Here is a 17,003-nt window from a genome sequence, read left to right as displayed (position 1 = left end):
TCCTCCCCAGGAGGACACCCACCCATACACACTCCTGCACGGGGCCCGGGCCCTGCTAGGTGTGACCCTCCGGCTCTCACTGCCGCTCACGCACCCTCACAACCCTCCCCAATTTCAGAGGTGAGGGGATGACAGCCCAGAGCGGGGAGGACCCGAGGCCGACCTCAGACTGCGTCACCCCCCGGGGGAGCCCCTGAGCTCTCCTCTCTCCTCTCCCACCACAGCTGCACCCACACTTAAGGAACCCGAGAACCAAACTCATCCTGGGCCTGCTAGAGCCCTGTGCCTCGTACAGGGTGGGGACCGGGGCCAGGGCCCAGAGATGCTGGCAGATGCTCCCCTGTATACTTGGCATCTCCCAACGTCCTCCTCACTGCGGAAAGCCCGATACGCCCCGTGACAGCAAAGCTCGGATGGCAACAGCCGGCTCCCTCACTGAGCTGCCCCCGCAACCTTCACCAGACAGCCCCCAACCCTCTACCCTGACACAACCTCTCCTGGCCTCGCCCTCCCCTGCACCATGGCCTCGAGGGGCCCAGCCCAACCCAGTCCCCCGCTCAGCCCAGACCTCGGGGACCTCTGTGGTTTCTTTGGCAGCTTCCACGGGCTTCTTGCTGGGGGTGGGCTCCTTCCCTAGGTCTTCGGGGTCTTCGTAGTAGGGGTATTCGTAGTAATAGGTCTCACCCTCGCCGTCTCCTTCCGTGTACTGAAAGCGAATTGCGGCCCCGTGAGGAAGCAGCGGAGCCCGCAGAGCGACCAGCCTGCTGTCCTTCCTTCCGCAACCTCCAGATCTGCACGCCACGACGCCCCGTCCAGCCCCAGGCGTGAACCTCCCTGTGGGTCCCCGGATGGGGTTCCTCCCTCTCCAGCTCCTTGGAAAGCTGACGCAGCCTCATCAGAAGCACAAGAGAGAAAGCAGGGGGAACACCAGGTCCCCTCGAGCAGTCAGAGAAAGATGAGCCCTCAAAGGTGAAGGCTTCTGGCCCTTTGGAACCCAGGCCAGAACAACCAACAGAATGGCAGTCTGTGCAGCCGTCACCATGTCTCCAGCAGGCTCCCGGGCCTTCAGCCCCAAGCCTCAAAGCCCAGGGACCCCACGGGTAGGGCTTCAGTGGGACAGAGTAGGCCTTGTCCTGAGCCCATTCCCACACCAGGAGCTGGGAGGAGCCTGGCAGGAGGCCGGGGCAGCAGGGACTCGGCTGGGAGCTCTGTCCTGCCCCTCCTGGGGTTTGTAAGATGTGGCCTGGGCCACGGGGTCCCACAGCTTCCTGAAAGCTACCCTTCCTTCTTTCCTGACTGGTGGTGAAAGAAGGAAGACCCAAGGAGAAATAAACAGGATTTAATATTACGGATGAGAAATGAGAGGCAGTGGGCCCAGGGAGTGGGAGAGCATTTTCATGCAGAGGTGATAGGAAGAACTGCAAATAAGAAAAACTGCAGTGCCGCGAGGGTGTGCAGCGGGAGGGGGAGGACAGCTGACCCATGGACATGGCGGGTCCCAGGAAGAGGGACAAAGGTGTCAGGCACGGCTGCCACTCTACAGTACACTTTACACTCAAGGGATCCGAGGGCTGGCCATTCTACAGTAGACAAGCCCAGGCTCCGTCCTCTTTGGCGAGCTGCACATGGCCCCTCCAGTGGATCGAGTCCATGGGGGACACCTGTGGCATCTGTGCTCACAAATACCCCATCAAGGTCAAGCCCAAGCGTGAGAGAGCACTGGGCATTCACCATCAAGGAGCTTGTTCAAAAGGTTAAAGGAGAGGGTTATTGATGACAAACTCTGTGACCCTATCATTCTGGGCAGTGCTATTTAGTAAAGTGAGTCAGATATCCCAATGTTTACCTCCTAGGTCCCTCCAAATTCTCACCCAGTGGATTTATTTAAAATAAGGGTCCCATGGCTTATGTGTCTCTTCACCAACCATCCCAAGTAGTCTGCTCATGCTCCCCAAGATCCCAGCCAGAGTTAACTCACATATTCATCTGGATTGGGGTCCTGCGACTGTGGGGTGTCAGGTACTGCGGTGTCACAGTCAGGGCTGTAGTGCTCACAGTAATCATAAGCTGCCCGGTGGTCCGAGACAAAGAGCAGCTGCTGGATGTCACCCTGGAAAAGAAGAGACGCTCATGAAAAAGCAGCTCACAGAGCACTCGCATGGGGACCTGGGAGACACAGCCCCATGCCTTGAAGCAGGGGAAAGTCCAGACCAAGCCACAAGACGAGCTTGTCCTCAGAGCCAAACATTCTCCCTAGAAGCTGCCACTCACAAAAGACACTCAAGCTAGGCTGGCCCATCCATCCATCCATCCATCCATCCATCCATCCGTTCACTCATCCATCTACCCATCCATCCATCCATCCATCCATCCACTCATTCGTTCATCCATTCACCCATCTATCCACCTATCCATCTACATCTACCAGTCCTTCCATCCATTCACCCACCCATTCACCCATCCACCCATCCATCCATCTATCCATCCATTCACCCATTCACCTATCCATCCATCCATAAACCATCTATCCATCCTTCCATCTGTCCACTCATTCACTCATCCATCAATCCATCTGCATATATACATGCTTCCATCCATCTACCCATCCATCCATCCATCCATCCACTCTTTCATTCATCCATTCACCCATCTGTCCACCTATCCATCTACATCTACCAGTCCTTCCATCCATTCACCCATCCATCCATTCTCCCATCCACCCATCCATCCATCTACCCATCCATTCACCCATTCATCTGTCCATCCATCCATTAAACCCTCTATCCATCCACTCCTCCATCCGTCTGTCCACTCATTCACTTATCCATCCATGCATCCATCCATCTGCACATACACATCCTTCTATCCATCTATCCATCTATCCACTCATCCTTCAACCCATTCACCCATCCATCCACTCATCCATTCATCCATCTACCTATCCACCTGTCCATCCATCCACCCAGCCATCTATCTGCTCATTAATTCATCCATCTATCTATCCATCCAGATACATACATCCTTCCATCCATCTCTCCGTCCCTCTACTCATCCTTCCACCCATCCACCCATCCATTCATCTGTCTATCCACCCATCTACCCACCCACCCATCAATCCACCACCCATTCACTCATCCATTTACCAGACACCTGTTGAGCACCTGCCAGATGCCAGTGCAGTGCTGGCAGCTTTTGCCTGTTGTGAGAAACAGCCTGCACTCTCACCCGCCCTAGACCCCGAGGGCTTGGAGGTACCCTGCCTCCTTTGCCATTACCCCTCAACCACTGGGGAAGAGAGTATTTTTAAAGAGGTGATGTCTGGTTTCTCAAAAAGTTAAAACTAGAATTACCATATGACCAGTAATTCCAATCTCCGGAACTGAAACAGATGCATAAACAATTCACCCAAATCAGTTCACCCTCCAAACAAAACAGGGACTCAAACAAATAAATGTATACAAGTGTTCATAGTAGCATTAGTCACAATGGCCAAAAGATAAATGCAACCCACATGTCTACCGACAGCTAAATGGATAAACAGAGTGTGGTATATGCATAGAATGGAATATCATTCAACCACAAAAGGGAAGGAAGTACTGCCCCACACTACAAGGCGGATGAACCCACACTGCTAACAACTGAACTTTCGGATTCATTGTGAGCAGCCTACACTCTAACTGTGTCAGCCGGGAAAAGCATGCAAGCACTTATTCCTTCTTCCTCTAACCATGATGTGTAAACAATTTATTCCATTATTCTCTCACCACAATGTGTACACAGGAGAAATAAAAGGGCTGCTAGTAGGAATAAGAAATGCAGGTCTCATAAACGCTATCTGCAGAGATGAAGATGACAGGCACGCTAGGAGTCACCCTGGCAGCACCCTGGGTGTTCCAAAGCAGAGGATCTTTTGACCATAATCAGATGCATAGAAGCCGACCAATATAGTAATGATTATAGTAATGACAGTGATGACGAATTAGATCATGTTTACCACAGATCAAGTACAAGGTAAAGAGCCTGCACCTGGTCTCTCTGTGCCCTCAAGAACCCTATGAATTGTGTCCGACTAATCCCCACTCTACAACAGAGGAAACCGAGGACCTGTGAGGTCACCTGTCCAGGGTCCCCCAGCAGCTGGGGCAGGATCAGCCCAAGGCAGCCTGCAAGATGCCAACCACTACACGCCCCACCACACTCAAGGGAGGGAAAAGAACTTGGAGGACCATGTCCAGGTGCTCCGGTCCTGGAGACGGTGGCGTCTCCGGTCCCGCCACCAGAGACGGTGCCGCAGGCAAGGGGACTTGGGGCAGGGCCAGGTGCTGAGTGCTCTGGGTCTGGAGCTCATCTTGCCACCCTGCATCACATCTGCACACTTTTCCAGAGCCACAGTAGCCAGCGGGCTGCAGGGTCAGGGTGCCCAACCCCATCTGGAGGATGGCAAGTTCTCCACGGTTCATCCGAGCCTGGTTCACCCGAGCCTGGTTCACCCGAGCCTGGTTCACCTGAGCCTGGTTCATCGGAACCTTCACTCCATCCAAGCAGAGGCACCACCTCCCCCGCCGAGGCCCCTCTCTGGGCCAGGAGGAGTCTAGTGACAGCTTTGTCTCCGCCTTGAAGACTCTGGCCTGCAGCCGCGGTGGCTGTGACGTGGCTTTGCGCTGTGTACTTCTGACCCTGGCGAGTCACCCTCACTCCCAGGGTGCCAGTGTTCTGGGAAGGGCTGGGAGACATTCACAGCTGTGAGCTCTGTGCGCACACCCATCATTGTTCCGAGGGCTGCTCTCTTCCACGAAGACTTTTGGTGCGAGGGTCTGGCCACAGCAAGACAGGCACTGAGACTTGGATGGAGCGGGTGGGAGCATCACAACCACTGCGCACACGGGCGGGGCGGAGGGAATCCCAGCCCGCAGGCACACTTGGAAAAGCAGTAAGCTCTGTGCTGCCGGACAGGCCCGGCCCACATGCCAGCTCCAGCCGTTGCCTGGCTGTGTGGCCTGGGATGAGCCTGTTCACACACACCTCTCTGCTCCCTGCTTTCTCTCTGAAAAAATTAGCATAAAACGGCAGCATTGACCTCACAGAGCTGTAGAGTCCTCCAGGCAAAACTCCTTGTATGCAGAAGGCACTCAATAAGTAATGCAAAAGATTTTGAGGTCAATGGGGGAAGGCATGTGCTCAGGAAAAGCCCTCAGCAGGCAGTAGGTTTGGAGGAACTGGGGGTCAGCAGGGGGCTGATGCAGGACACAGGGTGGGGGCCCAACAGCAGGTGTGAGAGGGTGGCAGGGAAGAGGCCACAGCAGCCAGGACAGTGCTCCTGAGAGGGGAGGGAGTGGTGCGAGGCAGGGGCCGAGGGGAGGACCTCGGGGCTCAACAGGAAACGGCTCTCAGCACCAAAAAGGGGAAGAGAGTGGGGTATGTGTCTGTGGTTATCGTGGGTGACCCCAACTTGTGTTTAAAAACCTCAAATGATGAGCGAGGAGCTCAGAACCCTCCCCAAGCCCACCCAACATTCCAGGCAGCAGCTCTGCCAGGTGGTAAGTTCCTGCTCCTGACTTCAGCCACACATCCACATCCATACCTGCCTCTGGGTCAGAGGCAGACGGACCCACCTTTCTCGGCACTACTGTGCCATAGCCTGGCCACAGCCCTTCTGCCCACCTGCCCCTGCCTCGCCCCATCCAGAAGGGTGCAGCCAGGGTTCAGGGGTCCGTCCGGTGCCTGGGTGCACGCCAGCACCCGTTCCCTTGCAGGACTCAGGACTCACAAGGGAAATTTCTGTCACCTCCATTTAACAGATAGAAGAGGCTGGGACAGGAGACATCACTGGTCCCAACTGCAGAGCCACAGAAGCAGTGGCCAGGACCTGGAGCCTATGTGTGCAGCGGGGCCCCTGACACTAGCTGACCCAGCCCTGCCTCCCCTGTCTCCACATCTCAGAACAGATGGAGCAGCACAGAGACGGGTGCTCTCCCTGCAGGCATCAGGCCCAGAGCATGGGGCGTCCCTGGCCGCCACGTACCTACTGCCTCATCTGAAGTTTCAGGGACTGAACCCCCCGCATCACCCCACATCATGGACAGCACCGCCGAGCCCCCTCCAACCCGGGTCCTTCCTCTCCGCAGGGTGCCTCAGGACAGTGGTGCCTCAGGACAGCGGTGCAGGAAGCAGCTGAGGGTTGGCGGTCGTCGGGAGCTGAGCTTGCACCTGTTCCCTGGGCTGGGGCATCTGCTGGGCTGAGGAGGGCACTGGGTGACAGGTTCCTCTCCTTCCAGACTTCACCTCGGGGGCTGTGACCCACAAAGGGACAGAGCACGGGGACGGGGAGTGACCGAGGACAGCTACCTGCTGCTGCCCCCTGCCCCTGAGACCCCATCACAGTAAACTGGGGGCATTTTGAGGAGGAAGCAAGAGTGGGGCCCTGATTAGCGCAGCCCTCAGCATTTCACACCTTCCCTCCCCGACACCAACCCTCAAACGGGATGCCCCACTCTCCACCCGCTGAGGCCAGCAGAGCTGCCCACCTGCCTCACCTCCCTCTCCCTCTTTCTCCTTCTCTCTCTCCCCCATCTTTGGATGTCAGAGGCTCCTGGCCCATGTTTCAAATTCTCCAGCAGACAAGGAGGAACAGTGAATCAAAACCACACACTTTTATTAAGCAACATGACTTCTGGATCACATTTCATCCAATTCAAATAAAATATGTTCTCCTTTCAACTGGCAATTTGACATCTGAATATATGTTCTCCAAAGGCACTTCAAAGAAGGAAGAGAAGCCTCAGGGGCCTTCAGGGGCAGCTGTGGTCCTGGGCCCTGATGCACCCCTGGATCCAGCTCTGCTTCCCCGGAAGCCCCAAGCTCCTTGGATCATGGGCGTGTCCGGCACAACCCCGTACCCCAGGGTGTCCAGCACAGCGGCCATACCTTGCAGGCCCTGCATAAGGTGCTGGCACTGGTCTCAGTGCTTGTGGGCACACAGCACCCAGGCACACCTGCACGACCATCAGGGCCCAAGGCTAGGTAACGAACACCCACGAAGCGGGACAAAGCCTGAGGTGTCCCCAGGTGCCCGGCGCTCTGATCCCAGGCTGACCTGGCCCTCAGCCAGCCCTGCTTTGTGGCCTGCCCACCACACCCCCAGACTGCAGCAGTGAACAGACAATAGTAGGACTGGGCATGAGGTCCCTTCACTTCGAGAACCCCCTCCTCTGCAAATGCACGTGCTTCGTTCGAATCATTTCCCCACCAAATCCTCAGGTGGATTTTCACACTAGAAAGAGCCGGTGTGTTCTGCGGGCACCACTGCCAAAGGGCAAGGGTCTGCCAGGCCCTACACCACCCCCGTGGAGAAGGAGAAACCGAGGCGCAGGTGCTAAGGCTCAGGCTCAGAGTGCTGCAGAAGCAGGGTCGCTCTAGACCTGGATCCTGGCCCAGGGCTCTTTCCAGCCCACCCACTGCTTCTTCCCTACACATGCAGGTGAGGGAGGGGACCCTGAACACCTGGGTGCCCAGCAAGGCTGTTGAGGAGGAGCTTCTCTGCAGGACCCCAGGCAGATGGGGCCGTAGTGAGGGATCTGCTCCAGGCTCCAAGACAGAGCGGATGCCTCCCCTGAAGCCCAGCAACCTCCCACGGGCCAGCCCCATGGCTGCACGAGCTAGCGCTCCTTCTGTGCCACCTTCCAGGCAGGGCTGAGAAGAGGGCTCTGTGATGTCTGCACCCCCACAAGGACTGGGCGGAGGAGGAGCTGAAGCAGAGGGAAAGGCTGTAACCCACCCCGCAGGACTCCAGTGAGACACCTGCCTCTGCCCTGGGCCACCCCTGGGGCCACCTGATTCCTGCGAGTCCAGAGGCCCAGGTGCATGGGACTTCCAGCTCTGCCCTCGGGGCTGTGGGTTGGTGGCTAGTCCAGTGTTCAGAGCAGAGACGAGATAGTGATGGGATCCAAACACAGTCATGGGGTGCCATGGGGTGACGAGAGGCACAGAACAGCCCTAACGGGGTCATGGGGGGTCCTGGGCAGCCCTGTATGGGTACTATGGGGAGGTTACAGGGTGGTCCTAGATGGGGTACTATGGGGGAGCCTGGGCAGCCCTGGATGGGGGTCCCATGGGGGGGACATCTGACAGCCCTGGATGGGGACAGTTGAGGGGGCTCTAGAGGGTTATCATGGGGGGTCCTGGATGGAGACAGTGAGGGCCACACTGAAGTCCTCCTGCATCCCTGAGACCTGTGTCCATCACTAGACTGATGAAAGATGTGATGGGTCCAGGGTGAGAGAGGCATCTTCCCTGACTCACGCGCAGCCACACACTGTGTCCTACCCAGCAGGTGACACCCGCGGAACCCTGGGATCCCCAGAGACTCCATGTGGTGGGTCTGGCGGGGACTGGGATTCAGGAGCCATAACTGCTCATGAGATTCTAAGATGCAGCCAGGCCTGGAGCCGCCCCTCACAGACCTTGAAGGCAGCTGTGGATGCGGGGACGCCCCTCCTTCTGTCAGTGGTACCCTGGCAGTTCCTGAGCCTGCACTCCTCCTTCTGGAACATTCACTCAGAGTCGGCTCCTCTCTGGAAGCCAGGTCAGCATGTGGAGACGTCCAGCCCAGCCACCTACCAGCCAGGCAACCAGCCCCTGGGAGCCACAGTCTCCCCATTTCATCACAGGAAATCTCAGCCTCCCCTGACCCCCTCCAGGCTGTGTGGACCAAACACACAGCTCTGCCCGAAGCTCACGAAAGCCCTAGGCAGAACTCTGCCCTGGTGCCCTCAGAATCCTTCTCAACCCAGGGCTTCCGGCAGCCACTCCCCAGTGTGCTGGAGAGGACATGCCCAGCCCGACCGCCATAATCTGGCGCACACTGTCTTTCAAATACAAAGCTAGGATCACGACTTCATGTTGTATGCTGAGAGCATTTTCACAGTGCATCCTGTGATATGAAACCAAGCTCCAAACTACAGACCAGGAAAATTGGTCGATGAAGCCTCCTCTCCTGGTGGAGCCTTGCCCGGCACTGGCCGGCGGGAGGTGCTGGCGGCCTGGAAACAAAGGGCCAGGGGCTGGTGGGCAGCCCCTGCTTGGGCTTGGGTGAGCTCGTGGCTTTTCAGGGGATGGGGACAGGAAGCTGGAGCTTGGGGCTGGGTCACAACGCGCACGCACAGCCAAAGAAACCCCAGAGAGACCTCAGCCTGCAGCCTTCCAGGACCCAACCCTGGGTCTCTAAGAGGCCGGCTGTAGGTCAGAATTGCCCAGTGGGCCGTGCCCTGACCCTTCCTGAGGCACTGAGGCACCCCAGGAATTTCTTAGCTGCAGCTGCCCTCTCAGACGGGTGGACTTTGACCCCAAGAACCTCCAAGCAGCCTGACCACGACCTCAGAAAGGCCCATGGTCCCCACAGTCCCCCTCCCAGGTGCTATCAGAGCCCCTGGCACACAAGCGCAAGGAACCAACCTGATGCCCTGCCCAGCAGTGGCCTGTGGCTCTCCTCTGATGTCACATCTAACTGCCAGGTTTCATGGCACACATCCAATCCCTGAGCAGGGCAATAGGTGTCACCTCCGACCTTCTTCAGACACGCCCCTTCTCCACCCTTCATTGCTTTCTCCCCATCCTCCGTCCTCTTACCAACGATGGCAGCCGCCTACTTCCTGAGCCGCCCCCTTGCCCTGGAAAGGCAGAGGCCGATCACCACCCAGGATATGGAGCATGATGTGCCGCCCTGCCCCTGTCCTGCCCTGGCCATGAGATGAGTGTGTGAAGTGCTGGGTCTCCCTTGCTGCTGTCCTCTTCGTGCTGTTTTCCAGCCCTCCTGCAGGGCCAAACACCCACTGGACGCAGGGAAGCCCAGCCAGCAACCCCACACTTGTAGGCCCATGGCCCGCTTGCAGGCCAAGCGCCAGGATCTGGGGTTGGCTGGTGTGTTGTGTCACTGTGTGTGTGCATACATACGTGTGCGTGCATGTGTCCGGTACCGTGTTGATGCAGGTGTGCACATGGGTGCAGGAGGCCATATGTGTACTGTGCACATATGTTTTGCATTCACATGTGCGGTGTGTGTGCGTGACATACATGCCTACGTCGTGTGCACAGTATACATGCATGTGTATGTGTGACATGGGTGCATGCACACACTTTTATGCATATGTATATGGTATGGCATGCCTTGTGTGCATATGTGAACAGGTATGCATGTGTGTGGCACACATGGGTCCTGGCACAGCACTGGAGATGGCCCCGAGGTGCCTGGGACTCAGTCCCCTCCCTCAACAACAGCCCACAGTTCTTTGAGGCTGCTTGTCCTAAGCCCACCCCACTTCCCCGCTCCAACGTGACAGGTTGTGTTGACATGTCAGATATCCTCAGCGTGCACCGCCTGTGCCCGGCATGCTTCGGGAAAGACCCTGGTGTTTCACACTGACCCAATTCCCAGCCCTACCTCACGCCTCGGCAAAAGAGACTTTCCTTACAGGTCTGGCCCTACTCCCATTCTTGCAGCCCCCCCAGGAGGAAGGCAAGGTCTCCTTTCCACTCTCCCATCCCCATTTCACAGATGCAGCAATGGAGGGTCTGAGAGGCAGCGCCACTCTCGCAGGCCATATGGGAGGAGGGCTGACTGGGGCTCCTGAGTCTCTGCCTGCAGCCCCCACAGTCCCCACCCCAGAGCTGCCCACCTTGGAGTCAAGGACATCGTGCCAAGTCACACATCCTGCACACAGAACGGCCGTGGGCTCCCAGTTCCCAAAACTTTGTCCCATCACCCACACAGCCCTAGGAGCAGGGGCAGGCACCTGCCCAATTCGCCTGGCAGATTCAGGCTTCTCCTGTTCCACGTCTTGGCTTCCCGGGCTGAGCCCCTGAACCACTCTGCTCAACTTTAAAAGCCAAGACCCAGCACCAGCGGCTCCAGACAGCTGGCCCTGTGGCTGCCCAAAGAAGCAGGTGGCAGCTGTTTTCATGCCATCCCTCGCTCTGATAACTGACCATTTTCCCCCTTTACATTCCTGGATTCTGCCCCCTGCCAGGTCATTAAAGTGCCCTGGAAGTTTCCGCCACCAGGCCAGGGTCATTACGGCCATTCCGCTCTGCTGCAGAGCCCCTGCCCACGGCACAGTTGGCGGCCACGTTCGACGGAAGATGGGTCGGCGGCCACGGCGGGAGCATGTTGTCCTTGGCTCTGGCAGAGATGGGAGCATTTTGCTGAGAGAATCAGTTCTGCCTTTTCTGCTAATGAGACCGTATCCAGGCTGCGTCTCTGTTGTGAGCTGAGGAAACTGCAAAGTTTTCATTGGAGAGCCCCATAAGCCTGGAGCCATGGAGACGGGAAACATGGACCTCACCAAATTAGAGGCTCCCGTGGCCGCGGCCCCCCAGCCCAGGCTGCTTCTCATGCTGCTGCTCCCTCTAATCGCATGCTCAGTGCCTCCTCTGCCATTTAATCATGCACTCCTCCTTTCAACCCCATCCCCCATCCCTGGGTTGAGCCAGCCCCCCCATGACTGCCTGGCACCCAGGCCCCCTCCTCGTCCAACCGAAACAGGGTCCACAGGAATCCCAGCTGAGCACTCTGCTTGTCCCACAGACTTTATCATCTAATTTTAGCCAGAGCACTTCGTGCTGGTAAACAGAGAGACACAAATAACTATTTAAGACAAACCCTTCTTGTTCGAGGCTGTGGGAGAAGCGGTCGGCAAGCATGTTGTCCATGAGAGATTGTTCTGCCACTGCCAGGCCCTGCCACAAACCTCCCCTGTCCTGGCAGGCGGGCACGTTGTCCAACCTCCCATACAAAACGCAGCCCAGCTGAGTTAACACGCTGACTGGGAGGGACGGAGGCCGGGAGAGCCACGGGCAGCGCTAGGGTCTGGAGCTGGGTTCACCTGGGCCCACATCTGAATCCTGCCCCTTGCTGGCTGAGTGATCTCAGGTGTGTTCGCAAACCACGTTAAACCATTCTTTCCCCTTCTGAAGCTGGGGATGGAACAACGCTGGCCCCAGAGGCTGCTGGGAGGGTGGAGTCTGGCCCTGGGCTCTGCAAACAGGAGCTAAGAACACGACTGCGTTCCCCGCAAGTACAGTGCCATCATCAGCAGTCTCTTGCACGGGGCTTCCCTCCCGCTGGGCCCGGCGGATTCTGACAGACACTGCCAGAGCAGCCTGGCCGGACGCCACCGGTGCCCCTTCTCCACGAGGCACTTCCTTGACGTCCTTAGCGCTGCGCACGTAGGAGACCACCAGATCCCCCCATTCCAGCTGCCAGGGGCCAGACCAGTCACATTTACAATCTCGCTTTGATGTTCTTCATCCGTGAGTCATACAAAATGGAAAAACAAAATGCCCCCAAGCCAGTGAGGTCTAAATAATTTTTTCCATGGTTTTCACAGCACCTGTGAGAACGAGTTTCACACTATTAACGAGAGTGTCAGAGAAATATTTTCATGTCGTCGGAAATTGCTTTCTGCTGTCCCCGCCATGTCCTCGCTCGCTGCCTCCAGTCCCAGTCCAATTCTCACCTGCAGCCACCAGCCCAAGACGTGTAGGGTCAAGTCTACTCACAACAGCTCTGGGTGCAAGGCTGCAAAATGACACATCTGTGTCTCCAACATGGGGGTGGGCCGCATGGGTGCAGAGAAGGGGCATGATCAGGTCACAGCCTCATGCACACCCTGAAGCTGGCCACAGGGACTGAAGGGTCAGCTCAGCAAACTCGGAGAGGGGGCCTCATCTCTAGACCAAGGGACGAAATGGCAGCACCAATGGCAGGGGCTGGGGGGCAGGTCCACCTCCTCAAAGACTTGCTCTCTCCAAAGGGTGGGGGTTCACCTCCTCAAAGACTCGCCACCCAAAGGGTGGTGACCTCACAAAGGCCTGCACTTGTGGCTTGGGCAGTGCACGCTTGAGCTGCTCCTTCTCCACATCTTGACTTTCGGAGCAGCGGGCCTGCAGACACTGTTTTATGGCACACGGGGCATCGCTGAGCACAGGGGATGTTCACTCGGTCCAGGCTCCCCAGAAGGAAGCCACCTGACCCTTGGCAGCACTGCCCGAGAAGAATGGCACAGGGAAGGCACTGACCACAGGAGGCCTGGGCACCGGGTCCCTCCCTTGTCATCTGTGAGGATGTCAGCGTATGACTAATTACTCCAGGCCTCCATCTGTTGATAAAAGAGGATAATAAGATCTACCTCATAGAGCAGAGGACTAAATGGGATTGCACCAGAACACTCCCCAGAGCAATCAGCATCCACTAGCACAGCCTCCACAGCCACCACCAGCACCAAAACCACAGAACCACCACACTGCTAGCATCATGACCACCACCAGCAGTGCTACCAGCACCAAAACCATAGAACCAACACACTACTAACATCATCACCACCACCACCACCACCACCACCACCAGCATCACCATCATCTTCATCACTACCATCACCAGCATCACCACCACCACTATCATCACCTCCATCACCACCTTCACCAGAATTGTGGGGAAAAGAAAGAGAGATCAGACTGTTGCTGTGTCTATGTAGAAAGAAGTAGACATAAGAGACTCCACTTTGTTCTGTACTAAGAAAAATTCTTCTGACTTGAGATGCTGTTAATCTGTAACCTTACCTCTAACCCTGTGGTCGCAGAGACATGTGCTGTGTCGACTCAAGGTTTAATGGATTTAGGGCTATGCAGGATGTGCTTTGTTAAACAAATGCTTGAAGGCAGCATCATGCTTGTTAAAAGTCATCACCACTCCTTAATCTCAAGTACCTAGGGACACAAAACACTGCAGAAGGCCGCGGGGACCTCTGCCTAGGAAGGCCAGGTATTGTCCAAAGTTCCTCCCCGTGTGATAGTCTGAAATATGGCCTCATAGGAAGGGAAAGACTTGACCATCCCCCAGACTGACACCCATGAAGGGTCTGTGCTGAGGAGGATTAGTAAAAGAGGAAGGCCTCTTTGCAGTTGAGATAAGAGGAAGGCATCTGTCTCCTGCTCGTCCCTGGGCAATAGAATGTCTTGGTGTAAAACCGGATTGTATATCCCATCTACTGAGATAGAGGAAAACCGCCTTAGGGCTGGAGGTGAGACATGCTGGCGGCATACTGCTCTTTAATGCACCAGATACGTTTATGTATGTGCACATCAAAGCACAGCACCTTTTCTAAACTTATGATACAGAGACATTTGTTCACGTTTTCCTGCTGACCCTCTCCCCACTATTACCCTATTGTCCTGCCACATCCCCCTCTCTGAGATGGTAGAGATAATGATCAATAAATACTGAGGGAACTCAGAGACTGGTGCTGGCAGGGGTCCTCCGTATGCTGAGCGCTGGTCCCCTGGGCCCATTTTTCTTTCTCTATACTTTGTCTCTGTGTCTCTTTCTTTTCTCAGTCTCTCGTCCCACCCAACGAGAAACACCCACAGGTGTGGTGGGGCAGGCCACCCTTCAAGAATCACCATCACCACCACAATCACCTCCACCACCACCTTCACCAGCATCACCACCACTACCATCACCTCCACTACCACCTTCACCAGCATCACCACCACCACCATCATCGCCTCCACCACCACCACCACCACCACAATCACCTCCACCACCACCTTCACCAGCATCACACCATCACAATCACCTCCATCACCACCTCCACCAGCATCACCACCACTACCATCACCTCCACTACCACCTTCACCAGCATCACCACCACCACCACTATCATCGCCTCCACCACCACCACCACCATCACCTCCACCACCACCTTCATCAGCATCACACCATCACAATCACCTCCACCACCACCTTCACCAAAATCACTATCACCACCACATCACCTCCACCACCACCTTCATCAGCATCACCACCTTCACCACCTTAACCTCCACCACCACCTTCACCAGCATCACACCATCACAACCACCATCACCATCATCAGCATATCCACCACCATAAACATCACCATCACCTTCACCACCACCACTACCACCACCACCATCACTACCATCATGACCATTACCACCACACCACTGTTATCATCATCATCATACTCACCATTAATATCACCACCATCAGCATCATTATGACCATCATCACTACCACCACCTCCTCCGCCACCACCACCACCATCATCAACAGTCCTGGATCCCTGAGAAAGGCTCACCAGCCTTTCCCGAACATGCCTCTGTAGCATGAAGGCCTGCAGGAAGGCAACCAGCTCTGATTGTTCATTCTTTTGTTCATTCAACCAGTATTTTTTGCATCTCTCTGATAAGTCTTAGGGACATAAAGATGAAAAAAATCTGGGTCTCTGACTGTAAGTCTCAAGGGAGAAGACTTGGGAGGCAGCACAGAAGCAACAGACTTTGCCTGGGAGGTCAAGGAGAGCGTCACGGAGAAGGTTGCTCAGAGCTGGGCCTGGAGGAGGAGAAGGTGGCTGCTACAAGGTTCACATCCCATCACTGGTCTCAGTCTGCTGTGGTCTCATCCCCTCTCCTCTGGACAAGACCCCACACTGGGGCCACCCACTCTCCACTCCACCCACCTTCTCTGTCCCGGGTTCAGACCCCAGTTCTTTCTATTCAGCTTCTGTTCAGCACAGTTTCCAGACCTGAGATCACCCTGCCCTCTGTCCCTAACGCCACCTGTGACAGCGTGCATTCCTGTGGCCGCCACACCACACTGATGATCGTTAATGGGTTTGACACCCACAAACCCCTAAGTTTTTTTCATATAAAACACTTCACTGCCGCTTCTCCTGGCCCTGCGCTTGTACAATTGATTGTTTTGAACCCAAGTGCAGAAGCTCACGTTTATCCTGATTGAATTTCATTTTCTCAGTTCGAGAACATAGTCCCAGCTTGAAAGATCTTCTGAGTCTTCATTCTGTCAACCAATAGAGTAAGGTGGCTTTACCTGTGATGGGACAGTGACAGATGCAACTCCCGGGTGTCTCTGCAAATCAACCATCGTCAGGAAGACCCTCACTTCTCTGTGGAGCGCACACAGCCCTGCTGTGGCTGCAGACTGGGAGGGAGGAGCGCTCTGGGGTTATGTTAGGAGCCAGGCTGCTCCACATGCTCCCCACCATCACACCCTGCAGTGAGTAAATGGGCCTGTGACCCAGCCTCCCTGACAGCATGAAGCCAGTGGGGTAGGGCTCAGGCATCCTGCTAAGAAGACCACGTGGCGTGGCTCAAACTGCCTCTAGGGTAAAACTCACTATCGGACAGGAGAAGGGCAGGGTGAGGCCACGTGGCTAGCTCGCAGGAAAACCTGCACTTCTCAGCTCCAAAAAGTATTTCCAAACACACAGCCTCCCAGAGGCATGGACGGCAGGCAGCCAGGGCTCTGGAGAGAGGCCGTGGAGCACAGCGGGAATCACGCCTGGTTTGGAGAGTCCAGGGCTCCAGGAGTGCTGGGAGTCCCCGGCTGCAGCCTGGTCACCCACAGGCCCTTCTGGAGGACAGGTTTGCGGACAGAGCCAGGATGGGTATGGGCTGGGGGCACCTGGAAAAAGGCGTCCAGGGGAGACCTGGTCCCCGTGGTCAAGGAAACCCCAGCAGAGAACAGGGTGGGGCCATTTGAACAAAAAGCAGCAACTCAGGGTTGAACATGAGAAGCACCAGGGTCTAGGGCCAGAAAGGGGCAGGAAAGATGGGGGCAAGAAGAAAGGGAAGCAGAAAAGCCAGGGGCAGGATGGAGGAGGGCAGAAGGAAGGGGTAAGGAAGGAGGGGGAACAGGAAGGAGGGGGAACAGGAAGGAAGGGGGAGGGGAGGAGGGGCAACAGGAAGAAGTGAGGCAGAAAGGAGGGGGGACAGAAAGGGGGCTCAGGAAGGACGGGGGACAAGAAGGAGAGGAGCAGGAAGAAAGGGGGACAGGAAGGAGGAGGGAAGGCAGGAGGGGAAATAGGAAGGAGGGGGACAAGAAGGAGGGAGAATAAGAAGGAGGGGGAACAGGAAGGAGTAGGGAAGGAAGGAACAGGGACAGGGATAACGAGAGACAGGAAGGAGGG

At 56.2% G+C, this 17,003-nt stretch overlaps 1 protein-coding gene across 3 annotated transcripts in view, besides 1 other annotated feature; it reads right to left on the bottom strand.

The window, feature by feature from the left end:
* COL5A1 (collagen type V alpha 1 chain) overlaps nt 1–17,003 on the bottom strand; it is a 203,041-nt gene that overhangs the window by 115,468 nt on the left and 70,570 nt on the right. For all 3 annotated transcript variants that reach the window (NM_000093.5, XM_017014266.3, NM_001278074.1), the window contains exons 5-6: nt 1,979–2,110; nt 569–706 (exon numbers count right to left, since the gene is read on the bottom strand). In NM_000093.5, coding sequence (NP_000084.3) covers nt 569–706; nt 1,979–2,110 — 270 coding nt within the window. The remainder of the gene's footprint in view (nt 1–568; nt 707–1,978; nt 2,111–17,003) is intronic.
* Nucleotides 4,685–5,507: an enhancer, noted in NCBI's record as "H3K4me1 hESC enhancer chr9:137615715-137616537 (GRCh37/hg19 assembly coordinates)". NCBI's record gives its function as "activates a minimal SCP1, AML or CMV promoter by ChIP-STARR-seq in primed H9 embryonic stem cells {active_cell/tissue: H9 hESC(primed)}" and the evidence as "EXISTENCE:reporter gene assay evidence [ECO:0000049][PMID:30033119]".

The sequence above is a fragment of the Homo sapiens genome, chromosome 9 (genome assembly GCF_000001405.40).
Source record: "Homo sapiens chromosome 9, GRCh38.p14 Primary Assembly".
Classification (NCBI taxonomy): Eukaryota; Metazoa; Chordata; class Mammalia; order Primates; family Hominidae; genus Homo; species Homo sapiens.
This window is presented reverse-complemented; position numbering and strand designations above follow the sequence as displayed.